Consider the following 14,411-nt stretch of genomic DNA (forward strand, 5'->3'; position numbering starts at 1 on the left):
TTCTCACTTCCTCAGGTTTCAGCTTTTTCTAGGGAGCCTTTATTATATAATTTGAGATCGGGCTATAGCTATGACATACTCATTCTAAGTATTGGCATCCAAAAAGGAAGAGAAAGGCAAATATTAGTTATTTCTTAAGAAAGATTCCTGGAAGCTGCCATAGGACACCTATATTATATCCTACTGAGTGAAACTGGGACATTTGGGGACACTTAGCTTCAAGAAAGGCTGGGAAATGTAATATTTATTCTGAGTGATCTGATGACAACCTGAAACTCTAGATTTTTGTAAAGTTAGGAAAAGGCTATAAAGAATATTGAGGGATAATGATCACTCCATCACAAGAGTCAATGTTACATGAATAGTTACCATTAATAATATCTGTAGTAGTAAAAGTATAAATAACAGTGACATTAATTTTATAATTTTCCTCAAAAATATAGGTGAATGAAAGTATATTTTAGAAACTGAAAGTTGATGAAATTGTGAGAGGCTTACCAGGCTTGTGGCTTTTGCACTTGGAAATTCCTTTTTTTTTTTTTCTTTTGGCAACTCTACAGGATGGACCCCATTAAAGAAAATTTCTCTGTGTTTACACAAAAATTCTACAAAAATGATGGTCTTTTATGTCGGTCCTTGTACATTGATATTGCTTTTATTAGTCTGTTCTGCTAAAAAAGAACTACCTGAGACTGCTTAATTTATAAAGAAAAGAGGTTTCATTGACTTACTGTTCTGTAAGGATCTGCTTTTGGGGATCTCTCAGGAAACTTACAATCATGGCGGATGGTGAAGGGGAAGCAAGCACATACCCACATAGCTGTCAGTTGAGAGAGAGAGAGAGTGAAAAGGGAGATGCTAAACATTTTCAAACAACCAGATCTCCTGAGACCTCTATCACGAGATCGCTGGAGAGGTATGGTGTTAAACCATTAGAAACCACCCCTATGATTCAATCACCTCCTCCCAGGCCCCACCTCCAACAATGGGGATTTCAATTCAACATGAAACTTAGGTGGGGACACAGAGCCAAACCATATCACTGCTGAACACAAATTAATGACCATACCCAACCTCCCAGTAGCTGTGCTGAAGTTCAAGGAACAAGTAAAATTTGAAAATGGTATTCTACTGGTATGACTTTACTCCTCATAGCAACATCTTCTACAGATTATTCTGATTTCAGTAATTTATAAGGTATTTCAATACTGTTAATCACGCTTAAAAAATAGATTTCTCCAAAAAGAACACATTCTTTAGAGCAGTGCATTTTTTGAGACTACTGGAAAAGGTTGTGTTTATGTACTCGCATCAGGGTACAAAAATGTAACAAATCCTATAGAATAAAATAATCATCTACACCTATTATTTGTTATATTTCTTAGCTTAATTAAAAAATGAGTACTAGTCAGAAGTAGCCTGTATTTATTCAGTGATTTATCTAAAATTAAGTTTATTGTCATTATAGTTACAGTTTCATTAACAGGAAGAAAAATCTTATCCTCTGTTCTTTGTGTGAGGAAAGAATACGTTTAACGTAATTGTCTTGGGTAGAGGAGGCAGTCAGTTGGGAGTGTTTAGCCGCATTATACATGATGCCTCTATGAATTATTTTAAGGATGAATTAGAACACTGGCATGGAAAATATAGTCATCAATAAAAGTTTTCAAAGCTCATGATTGATTTTCTCTCTTTTTGTGTATATGTTTATTGTGTGAAAATAATAGCCTATAACAATTTTAATATTTTTTCTGGCCAAATTATAGACATGGAGTGGTTTTGATTGGTGTAGGGTGTCAGGAACAATTTTGGAGAAATTTGAGCTAAAATACTGAAATAGTGGAAATATAAATTAAATAATGGCCAAGGAGACTATTCAAGAAAAACATGTATAGAGATTGCTTTTCTCATTTGCCTTTGGTTTATTGGTTTGTGTCTTAGTTTATGAAGTGGTGTTATTTGTATAGGTGTTTTTCTGCATGCATGCATGCATGCATGCTTGGTGGGAGTTTGTGTTTAAATAGAAAAATATATCTGCAGATTTTGAACTGAACACTTAAGAATGAATGAAAATCCTGTGTCTACTTTCTTTGGAATGGGATGCAACATTTGAATAGTTGCCACAGAGGGTCAAGGTCAAGGAGCCAGTTTCATAGGGATTTAATTATTTGTTTAGTTAAACAATTTCAAAAGGATCTTGTAAGGAAAAATATTAAGGGATTTTAAGGTACATTTGAAAGAACAAATATGTTGGGGCGTCTCTCTAACTGCCATTTTCTTACCTAAAATGTGTGAAAACATTTTCCTTATCAATGTATCAGTTGATAGACATTTGGGTTGTTGTCACTTTGGCTATTGTGAATAATGCTGTAGCATGTCTACAATAGTCAAACTCATCAAAACAGAAAATAGAATTTTAGCTTCTGGGGCTGAGAGGAGAGAAAGAATGGGAGTTGTTATAGTGGACATAGAGTTTCAGTTTTGCAAGAGGGAAAAGTTCTAGAGCTCTTTTGCACGACAATGTTAATATAGTTACCATTACTGAACTGTACACTCAAAAATAGTTCAGAAGGTAAAGTTTATGTTATGTGGTCTTTGTCATGATTTTTCAAACAGTAAAAAATTATTTCATGCTTCATATATGTTGAAAATCAAAATTTGAAGAGCATTCTTAAACAGTTGAGATTAAGATTAATGCTATTACTATGACAATCTAATTTCAGACACAGCAATTCCCTCTTTAGTTGCTTGAATAAGAAAAAGATCTGACACTGATGTACTGTTGAGGCAGGGGAGGATGAAGTAGAACTCAGCAGTTTGAATAGATTTTTCATGTTTTGAGTGAAAGGCTCCAATTTGTTCTTTAATCTTCGTAGTAACATACTGTCATCTTAATGAAAATCTGATCTCCATATTGATGCATTGTTCAGTAACTGTTTCTTCAGTTGGAGACTTATATTGAGTGGAGAGAAATGTAAGTTAAAAAAAATCACAAGAGTACATACATCTTATTAATATTTTTAGTTAAAGTGCATGTGTTTGTGTGTGTGTGTGTGTGTGTTTATATTTTAATTTCCAACCCCTACTAATTTGAACCTCTATCTAGAGGAATAGTGATCTCTCTGGGTTTGAGATTTTGAGTGCATATATTTTGAAGAGCATCTTTTAAGACAGATTAACTGAATGAGCTAATCCAGTTAGAACAGTTTGTATTGGTTTTGTAGTGTCCTCCCATATTAAAGTAATGCCAAATGACATGACAAGGACTATGACCTTCCTCAGAGACTGGAGTTAATCATTTGTAATTCATTGAGCTGTAGAAACAATCACATAAGAGATTGCATAATATGTACATTGGGAAAAAAGTAGGGAAACAGGATAACATCATAAGTTATGGAAATAACATAAATTGTTACTAAATATTTTCCATATTAAGCATTTGATGAAGCACAGCGAAAAATTAGGCACTTAATAAAAGCATTGCTAACAGTGGCATGGCAATTATGTGTTCACATTAACTTTCAAACACTTTAGACCTATTATAAATTAGTTTTTGATTTGACCTATATTTAAAGTGTAAAACATATTTCGATTAAAGACAAATTGTATAAAATTTAATGTAATTATTTACTTCTAAGAACATCAGGTGACAAGACGTGACTGAGATTATTTTATTCTTATTGCAGGGGATGGGAAGCATGAGAGGATATCTACCAAATCAATTAAATCTGGTTTTTGGCAAATAGCAGGATGCAGACTGGGTAGAATTTGAGCAAAATGTAATGTTACTTTCTAGTAGATTATTCCTCATGATCCAGTATTCAATAACTTTTGTGATTTTTTTTTTTCTCGCTCTGTCACCCAGGCTGCAGTGCGGTGGCGCGATCTCGGTTCACTGCAAGCTCCGCCTACCGAGTTCATGCCATTCTCCTGCCTCAGCCTCCCGAGTAGCTGCGACTACAGGGGCCCGCCACGAAGCCCAGCTAATTTTTTTTTGTATTCTTAGTAGGAACGGGGTTTCACCGTGTTAGCCAGGATGGTCTTGATCTCCTGACCTCGTGATCCTGCCGTCTCGGCCTCCCGAAGTGCTGGGATTACAGGCGTGAGCCACCGCGCCTGGCCCGATTTGTTTGAGAGACATAAACAAAATTTTGTTATGACTAAGATCTCTGTCTGTTTACAGAGATCTGGACAGTATCAAGAGGACTCACAAGAACGTTGAAATATCCAGGGCATATAAAAAATGTGAAGCTTTTTATACCACCCTTAGGCCTGCAGAGGCAGGAAGCAAACATCTTGTTACTAGATCGTGAAGTAAGGTAAGTAATGATATAGATCCTGAGGTGGTCTATGAAGATGGGAGAATTGGAGAGGAGATGGTTCTAATAGTTCTTGCCTTTGTCTCTGATCTGTAACTCTGATTGACTGAACCCAAGACGAAGCCAGAGATCAAGCACATTTGGGCTGATGCTCTCTGGCGGAGTCAAGGTATCTTTCGAGGTAGAGCAGAGTAGAGAAAGTTGAACATAACCTAGAGAAAGCAATTGAAAATTAACTCCCAAATACAATGCTACATTATGTTCTTCTAGAATATAAAGACAACATGTTACATAATGACATTTTTCATCAATATATCTCATTGAAACAGAATGTCTAATTAAGATGAGAACATATGCTTTTAAATTCACTTAGAGATCATTCTGAGTAAGTACAGCATTTTGCAGCTTCATTACTATAGTGACTAACAAATGAAAATTGAAGATTTTAAGAGGCAAGAAAATAAATGATCAACATTATAAGTGTTACATTTAAACAACCTGTGGCAGCACTATAGTGCTGGAGTGGTCAATAAACTGTATGAAGTTTAAGATTCAAATACTGTTTGTGTAAGAAAGGGAAGGCTGTATGCTTTTATTATCAATGTATGTGTGGCAGGAAGAGTAAAAGGTAATATTTGAAAAAAATAATTTTGAAACTATATCCCAAATTTCATATTATAGAATTTATATATCTCTAAGATTTTCTTAATAACTGGAGAGTGGCTGGGCACGGTGGCTCACACCTGTAATCCCAGCACTCTGGGAGGTCGAGGCAGGGGATCACCTCAGGTCATGAGTTCAAGACCAGCCTGACCAACATGGAGAAAACCCATCTCTACTAAAAATACAAAATTAGCGGGGCATGGTGGTGCATGCCTGTAATCCCAGCTACTCGGGAGGCTGTGGCAAGAGAATTGCTTGAACCCGGGAGGCGGAGTTTGTGGTGAGCTGAGATCGCGCCATTGCACTCCAGCCTGGGCAACAAGAGTGAAATACCATCTCAAAAAAATAAATAAAATAAAAATATATAAATAAATAACTGGAAAGTGTTTGATTTTTAACATTTAAACCCAATTAAATTTCCAATTTAGAAGCCTGAGAGTTGTAAAAAAGCATAGTTATTAAAATAATTACAGAAAATTGAGCATAATATTTTTTATTTTCCAATCCCCTAAAACTAATAATTGATTTTTCTCAAATACTTGGCTTTACATTATTAAAATAAATTATATTGAATTGCCTTGACACATAGATAAATAAATTATAATGTTTCTAAATTATGTTACTTTCTTATAAAGTATTCCTGATAAAATACCTAATAACTTTCATGATTTATTTGAGATATAAACAAAATTTTGTTATGACTAAGATCAGAAGAAAAGTAAAGATTCTTATAGTTGACCCAAATAATTGCATAAATTACTAAAAAAAGCATTAAAAGCTGAAGTAACAATTCATGCTAAACTCCAATCACTTTTTGACTGTGATAAAAGTGATTGTTAACATCTGTACAGTTCATATAAAAGACATCAATACTTGTAGCCAACGATTAAAGGTATTGAAGTGATAAGAAAAGGACTATAGATCATGCTGCTATAAAGACACATGCACACGTATGTTTACTGCAGCACTCTTCACAATAGCAAAGAATTGGAACCAACCCAAATGTCCAACAATGATAGACTGGATTAAGAAAATGTGGCACATATACACCATGGAATACTATGCAGCCATAAAAAATGATGAGTTCATGTCCTTTGTAGGGACATGGATGAAATTGGAAATCATCATTCTCAGTAAACTATTGCAAGGACAAAAAACCAAACACCACATGTTCTCACTCATAGGTGGGAATTGAACAATGAGAACACACGGACACAGGAAGGGGAACATCACACTCTGGGGACTGTTGTGGAATGGAGGGAGAGGGGAGGGGGGAGGGGGAAGGGATGACGACTTAATGGGTGCAGCACACCAGCATGGCACATGTATACATATGTAACTAACCTACACATTGTGCACATGTACCCTAAAACTTAAAGTATAATAATAATAAAATTTTTAAAAAAAGAAATTAAACTCCTCATCTCTTTTACCTGTAATATCTAGAGTTGTTTTCAGTTAAAATATGTCATCCAGGGATAAAGCTAATTATAGCCTTTTTATGCATGCTTTTGGCATCACTGTTATTGTCAGTTTTTTTACTTATATGTACAATATTTATTGATATACAAATATTCTTTATTTGCAAATTAAATACAAAAAGTAACTTTAAATGCATCCTGCACCTCCCTCCCATGGCACTAAATTGCTCAAGCAATAATTAGTAAAATACATAGTAGCACTTTTTTAAAGTGGGAATATAAAAAAATTTCTAACTTGAAAGAAGTAGAAAAAGGGCAGAAAGCATTCACCAGGTTAGGAAAAACACCAAGAAAAATAAAAATAACGTGAAGAAGTAGCAAATATTAATCCCTGGAAAAAATAAGCATGTGGAAATTATACAAAAATATCAGTAATTGCAATGAAAATAAAGGAATATATGTTGCCTATTAAAATGGTAGATATGTTTGACAAATAAATACATCCTATTAGCAGATGTCAGAGTTGGGATCCAAACCCATCCCACTGGTTCCCAGAGCTGGAGCTTGTCACACTACAGCACCCTGATTGGACAGTCTCCACACTCTGGTCAACTCATCAGAGAGCTGAAAAAAGAAGGCACAGTATCACTTTGTTTGACTTCAGCTAGGAATGGACACATCAGAAGACTAACATTTTGTGTCACTCTCAGCATGTCTACAGATAAGAACAAAAAGTGTCATCAGAATTTATTTTGAGTTTGCAGATAAATTTTAGCATGTAGAATTTTGCAAATACAAAATCTGTGAATACATATGGATCAACAGAGTTTCATATTTAACAAAGAAACAGTAATTAAAAAGTGGAAACCATGAATGTATGTGCACCTAACTCCAGAGGCAAAATATGAAATTAGAAAAACACAGCAAAATACTAGGAGTTGCCAGGTGTGGTGGCTCACACCTTGTAATCCAGCACTTTGGGAGGCCAAGGCAGGAAGATCATTTGAGATCAGGAGTTCAAGACCAGCCTGGCCAACATGGTGAAACCTAATCTCTACTAAAAATACAAAAAAATAGCCAGGTGAGGTGACAGCTGCTAGTAATCCCAACTACTCAGGAGGGAGTAGAATTGTTTGAACCCGGGAGGCAGATGTTGCAGTGAGCCAAGATCTCACTACTGTACTCCAGCCTGGGCAACACAGCAAGACTCAAAAACAAACAAACAAACAAACAAAAAACCAGAAGGTTACAAATTTGCAGATATGTTGAAAAAACTCTTATTTAAAAGAAAGTTAGCAGTTAGGCAGTTATGAAATCATTAGGAATGCAGAAAATTTCTATGCACCAGATTAAAACATTGAGCTAATACTTCATAGATAATTTTAATTTACATACACTGGAGACTATCCCAAAATATACATTTTTTTAAAAAAGACCAATTTTAAAGCAACATAATGAAACCACCTTTGCAAATATTATGACAGTGAAAGAGTCTAGCATGGCTTACTCCATATCGCTTCTAGCCTCGCAAGATGGCTTTCCTCTCACATTCCTGGGCATTAAGCCAAGCTAACCATGGCAGGAATTTAGATTATAGTTTCCCTTTGAAGCAAGGATGATAGTAGGCCCTCCCTAAACTGACTCACTCCTTGTTCAGGGACTGAAACTGCCTTTGTAAGACTAATGAAAGGCCACATGTTAGGATTACTGGGCAGGTAGAGCAGAATGCATGCACAGCTTGCCTTTACATAATTGCTTACCACACCATAGGTCAAAAACTTTGTAACTTCCCCACTTGTTCCTATGGATAATATCACCATTGTGAAACCCAAGGTTGGTATTTTGCAATTTTTTTTGAACTGATTACACACTGACTCTGCCTGGACCTGTGATTTATGACTCAATCCTGGACCTGGGATTCATAATTCAATCAATCTCCTGACCTTCACCCACAGTCTGATTCAGGGCATAAGCACTGTTTTCCACACCCTTATGATTTCATCCTCAACCAATCAGTAGCACCCATTCCCTAGCCCCTTGTCTGACAAATTATCCATTAAAAAACCTAACCTCTGAATTCTTGGGGAGGCTAATTTGAATAACAAACTCTGTCTTTCACTTGGCTAGTGCTGTGTTAATTAAACTCTCTTTGCTGCAAAAACCTGCTGTTCTCAGTGCATTAGCTTTTCTGGGCAGTGGGCAAGATAAACCAGTTGGGCTATTACAATAACATAAAGTAAATGGTATTTTTTGTATAATTTAAGATAATTACAAGTAATATTATTATCTATCATTTGTTCATATATAAAGCTGTTGTGCATATCTATCAAATTTGTGATAGTGGTTGTCTCAGTGTGATTGAAGGCAAATGCTACTAGAAATAGGTGGTCAAAAAGTGTATCAACTTTAACATCAATATTCTCTTTCATTAAACAAATGAAACTAACAGAAGTTTTATTAAAAATATTTAAAAGAAAACCCTATTACCTCTCTTGTAAGCCCAATGATTCCTGCCCTAGTGTAATCCCGTTCCCTGGCAAGTAGGAGAGACCTGAGTATTATAATTGACTAAAATTAGTCAAGTAGAATACTTAACTAATTAAGGATATTAATTCCATCTGCAAAATCTCTTTACATATAAGATAAAAAATAGTGGAATTGATATCCCATTATATTCTCAGGTCTCTCCTACTTCCCCCCAAAAAGGAATATCATCCAGAGTAGATATCACCTCCTAATGAGTTGAATCCTTTAAAGTGTAGAGCCTGGAAGGAACAGAAGTGCTCTTCTGCTGGTATTAAAGAAACAAGTCATCAGTTTCTAACCAAGGAACTGAGTACTGCCAACAACCTTGTGAACTTAAAAGAGTATCTTGAGCCTAAGATAAAACCTCAGCCCCAGCTGACACCCTGAATACATCCTTGTGAGATCCTAAGCACAGGACTATGGAACTTGCAAGATAGTAAATGTGACGTGCATCCATGTAAAGAGACCACCAAACAGGCTTTGTGTGAGCAACAAGGCTCTTTATTTCACGTGGGTGCAGGTGGGCTGAGTCCGAAAAAGGGGTCAGTAAAGGGTGCTGGGACTATCATTAGTTCTTACAGGTTTGGGATAGACATACAAAGTACAATCTCAAGGGCAGGGAGAATATTGCAAAATACCGTCTTAAGGGTGGGGGAGAATAGGAGAATATTATTACAAAGTACCTTCTTAATGGGGCTGGGGGAGAATATTACAAAGTACCTTCTTAAGGCAGGGGAGAATATATTGTATCAGTTAGGGTGGGGCAGGAACAAATCGCATTGGTGGAATGTCATCAGTTAAGGGTATTTTCACTTCTTTTGTGGATCTTCAGTTGCTTCAGGCCATCTGGATGTATACATGCAGGTCACAAGGGATATGATGGCTTAGCTTGGGCTCAGAGGCCTGACAGTAAATACATGTTGCTTTCAGCTCTTAAGTTTGTGGTGATTTGTGAAGCATCAAGACAGCACTAATGCAACTACTAATGTACCAATGTCTTTCAGTGGAGAAATCCCCCTGGAATGTTGTGATACAGTTTGCTTTTAATATGTTACATGGCCTTAGGCAAAAGATTTAACTTCTCTAGGCATAAAGAGGTGTTTTCGTGCTAAGTATATCCAAATCCCTTAAAGTTGTAGAGATTTATCCTTCGCTGTAAGAGCTAACAAAAAAAAAAAAAAAGAAAGACACAGAGAGAGAGAGAGAACTATTGCCAAGTTTAAAAGAGGTGAGCACTTTCCAAGTATTGATTAGTAGATTAATTCATTTACTTATTGGAACATTAATCATTCAAAAAATTTAGAGAGTAGTCAATTAATTTACTCATTCTGTGCTTTAGCAAATATTGTTTGAAAATTTACCACAGAGGCTAGATGATAAAGATACATTAATAAATAAAGTCACTCCCATTTTTATTGTGATTACTTAACAGTAAATAATACATTAGACGAGCAATAAACCAAACTGCAGGAAACCTGAGAAGGCTTTCTTCATGAAATGGGAGCTAAACCCACACTGATTGAATAACATTTACAAAGTCAAAAACAGAGGCGTTGAAGAGAACTAGGGATGCTCCAGGCCGAGAGAACATGGTATGCAAAGATCTGAAGCTGTGGATGAACTTGATAAGATTAAGGAATTACAAACTTTTCTTTGAGTTGATCAAACAAGTCAAAGAAAATAATGTGAGAGAGGAAAAATAAACTAAGAGCAGATTATAAAAGGCCTGGTAAACTTTTCAAAAAATATGTGGTTGTTGCCGTAAGCAGTAGTAATGTTTTTAGATGTGACCTCAGTCAGTTCAGGCTGGTATAACAAAAAAACCATAAACTTGAAGGTGCCTCACAAACAATAGAAAATTATTTTTCACAATTTTGAAGGTTGGAAATCTGAGATTAGGGGGCCACAATGGTCAAGTTCAGTTGAGTGCCCTCTCCTGGATTGCAGACTGACAAATTCTCATTGAATTCTCACATGGCAGGAGAGGAGGTGTTCAGGGGAGAAGAGAGAGCTCTTATTCCTCCTTGTATGGGGCACTAGTCCCGTTCATGAGGATTCTCCCCTCATGACCTAATCACCTAATCACGTCCCAAAGGCCACATCTTCTAATGTCAGCATATTGTGGATTGAAATGTTAGCCTATGAGTTTTCAGGGGACACGGACATTCAATCCATAAGAGATGTTATTCTGACACGTGCTGGTTTTTTTAGTTTGATTTAATGAAGTTTGAACTGTCTCAGACAGTTTGAACTGTGTTACACAGACATAAATATGTGTTACACAAGACATAAATATGTCTTGTATGTCTCAGAAAGAAGTCAGTGGTAATGGAGAAGAAAGAGTGCATTAAACAAATATTTAGAAGAAAAATATATGGAAAACAGTAACAGATTTGATAGTTACTGAATAATCAAGGCAACTGCAATAAAAAAGAAAAAGTTAGAAAATATTAAGTGAATATATAGAGTTTTTTTTTTCAGTTAGAAAATGCTGAATTTGAAGTACCATTAGAACATTTAAGTCAGAGTTTTCAAAAGTCTTACACAGGGAACACCATCTGTCAACAATGTACTTAATAGTTTCCATCAAGGGGCTGAAGATTGAACCACGGAGAACCTTTAGCAATGCTAGGGTTCCAAGAACAGCAAAAGCTAGAACTTAGAATTTTATGTTCATAACAATTAAAGATTGGCCTCTGACTTTCGTGCCCGGATATTAAATTCAACACCAAGGATCTGGGTTAAATAGAGTCAAATACTTTATTTTGTCATTATAGGGACAAGACTTTTCAGAATCATTGTGCAGACCTAGGACTTATGTTTTGATGAGCTACTCAAGGAGAAAGTGGCCTCTGTATCTTGAATAAACTAGAAAATAAATGAGTATAGTGAAACATGTGGCAACAAAATTTGTGTATGATAATTGTATCAGATCAGTAATGTCTGCTTATATGTTACTCCATGCTAACCTGTCTGTAAATATAATGGGTTAAAACAGTGATTTAATGCTGCTCACAATATGTCAGGAATTTAGGATGGGCTCATTTCATCATTCATCTGTTATCTACCTGGCATCACATGGGGTGTGTACCCGTCAGGGTTCTGAAGCAGGCAGAGGGTGGTTGATGTTAGAGATCTGACATCAAAAATTGCTTCTTTATTGACATATCTAGTCTCTTGGCTAATATTTCTGTCCACACAATATCTGATATTCCATCTATCCTCCATGTCCTTGTGCTTCTCACATCATGGTGGACACAGGTTATTCACATTTCTTTTATATTTTATTGTAAATATTGATGGTGTACAGCATGATGCTTTAATATACATACCCATAGTGAAATTATTACTATAGTCAAGCGAATTAACATATCCATCTCTTCACAATTACCACCATTTATTTTGGTGGTAGCACACCTGAAATCTACTCTCCTAGGAATTCATTGGTACACAATGCACTATTCTTAACTACAGCCATCATGCTGTACCTTCGATTACTCAACTTATTCATCATACGTAACTGCAATTTTGGATCCTTTGACCTGTGTCTCCTCATTTCCTCCTTCTCTTTACTCCTGGTGTCTTAGTCTGTTCTGTATTTCTGTAACAGAATACCTGACAATAGGTAATTTATAAAGACCAGAAATTTATTGGTTTGCAACTCTGGAGACTGGAAAGTCCAAGATTGAGGGCTTGCATCTGACAGGGCCTTCTTGCTACATTATAACATTGCTGATGGTACACATAGCAAGAGATGGAGAAAGGGGGCTGCATTTATCCTTCATAAGGACCTTACTCTTGAGATAAAAAATTCAGTTCTGCAACAATGGTATTAATCTGTTAATGAGGACAAAGACTCTGTGATCTAATCACCCCTAAAATCCCACCTCTTAACAGCATTGAGGATTAAGTTTCCTACACATGAACTTTAAGGGACATATTCATAGAATGTCACTTATTAACCATGGTTCCACTCTCTGTCTGTTTCTATGGATTGGATACTTTTAGATACCATATAAGTGAGATCATGTAGTTTTTGTCTTTCTGTACCTGTGTTATTTCAATTAACATAATGTTCTCTAGGTTGATCTGTGTTGTTGCAAATGACAGCATTTCTTTCTTTGTAAAGGCTGACTAGTATCCCATTATATATATATACACACACACACACATATATATATACATATATACACACACATATATACACACACACACACACACACACCACATTTTCTTTCTGTATTTATTAGTTGATGTACACTTAGGTTGATTCTGTATCTTGGCTATTGTGAATAATGTTGCAATGAACATGGGAACTTAGAAATCTCCACAAAGTACTGATCTCATTTCCTTTGAATGTATACCCAGAAAAGGGATTACTGGTTCACATGTTAGTTTTATTTTTTATTTTGTAAGAAACCTTCATATTATTTTTCGTGAGTGTACAAGGGTACCCTTTTCCCCACACTCTTGCCAACATTAATTTATAGGGCTTTTTAAAAGTAATAGCCATGCTAACAGATGTAACACGACATCTCATGTACTTTTGTTTGCATTTCTTTGGTGATTTGTAATGTTGAACAGATTTTCATCTGTCTGTTGGCCATTTTTATGCCTTCTTTAAAAAAAGTCTATTCTGGTTTTTTGCACAATTTTTGAGGTTTTTATTGCTTTAAAACATTAATAAAAAATTGGAGAATACACAAATAAATGGAAAGGTCTCTTATATTCATGGGTTAAAAAGATTAATATTCTTGAAAGTCCATACTACCCAAAGCAATCTCTATCAAAATTCCAATGACAGTTTTTAATTTAAATAAATTTAAAAGTTACATGGAGCCACAAAAGACCCTGAGTAGCCAATACTATTTTAAGAAAAAAGAAAAAAGTTGGAGTTATCACACTTTCTGATTTCAGGTTATATTACACAGTTACAGTAATCAATATAATATTACACAGTTACAGTAATCAATATAATATGGCACTGACATAAAAAAAAGACACTAGAAAAAATGGAACAGAATAATAGCCCCCAAATAAACATAAGCTTATTATACAGTCTACTAATTTACAACAAAGGCCCAAGGAAACACGATATGGAAATAATAGTCTCTTCAGTAAATGGTGCTGGGAAAACTGAATATTCACCCACAAAAGAATAAAATTGAATACATATCTTACACCAAGCACAAAAAATGAACTCAAAATAATTAAAGTCCTAAACATAAGACTTGGAATATATTCCTAGAAGAAAACATAGGGAAAAAGCTCCTCAATGTTGATCTGGGAGACGATTTCTTTGACTACTACACCCAAAGCATAAGCAACAAAACAAAAAAAATAAAACCAGTGATAATACAACAAGATAACTTTGCAAGTCAAAGGAAACAGTCAAAACAAAAAGTCTACAGATTGCCAGAAAATATTTGTAAACCACGTATCCAATTAGGGGAAAACTTTAAAGAATCTAGTCATATTTCTA

General features: G+C 35.4%; 1 annotated feature.

The window, feature by feature from the left end:
• Positions 7,285-8,484: an enhancer, noted in NCBI's record as "CDK7 strongly-dependent group 2 enhancer chr5:23465882-23467081 (GRCh37/hg19 assembly coordinates)". NCBI's record gives its function as "activates an origin of replication core promoter dependent on BRD2, BRD4, P300/CBP, MED14 and CDK7 cofactors, with strong dependence on CDK7, by STARR-seq in HCT116 cells {active_cell/tissue: HCT116}" and the evidence as "EXISTENCE:reporter gene assay evidence [ECO:0000049][PMID:35650434]".

This window comes from Homo sapiens, chromosome 5 (assembly GCF_000001405.40).
Source record: "Homo sapiens chromosome 5, GRCh38.p14 Primary Assembly".
Classification (NCBI taxonomy): Eukaryota; Metazoa; Chordata; class Mammalia; order Primates; family Hominidae; genus Homo; species Homo sapiens.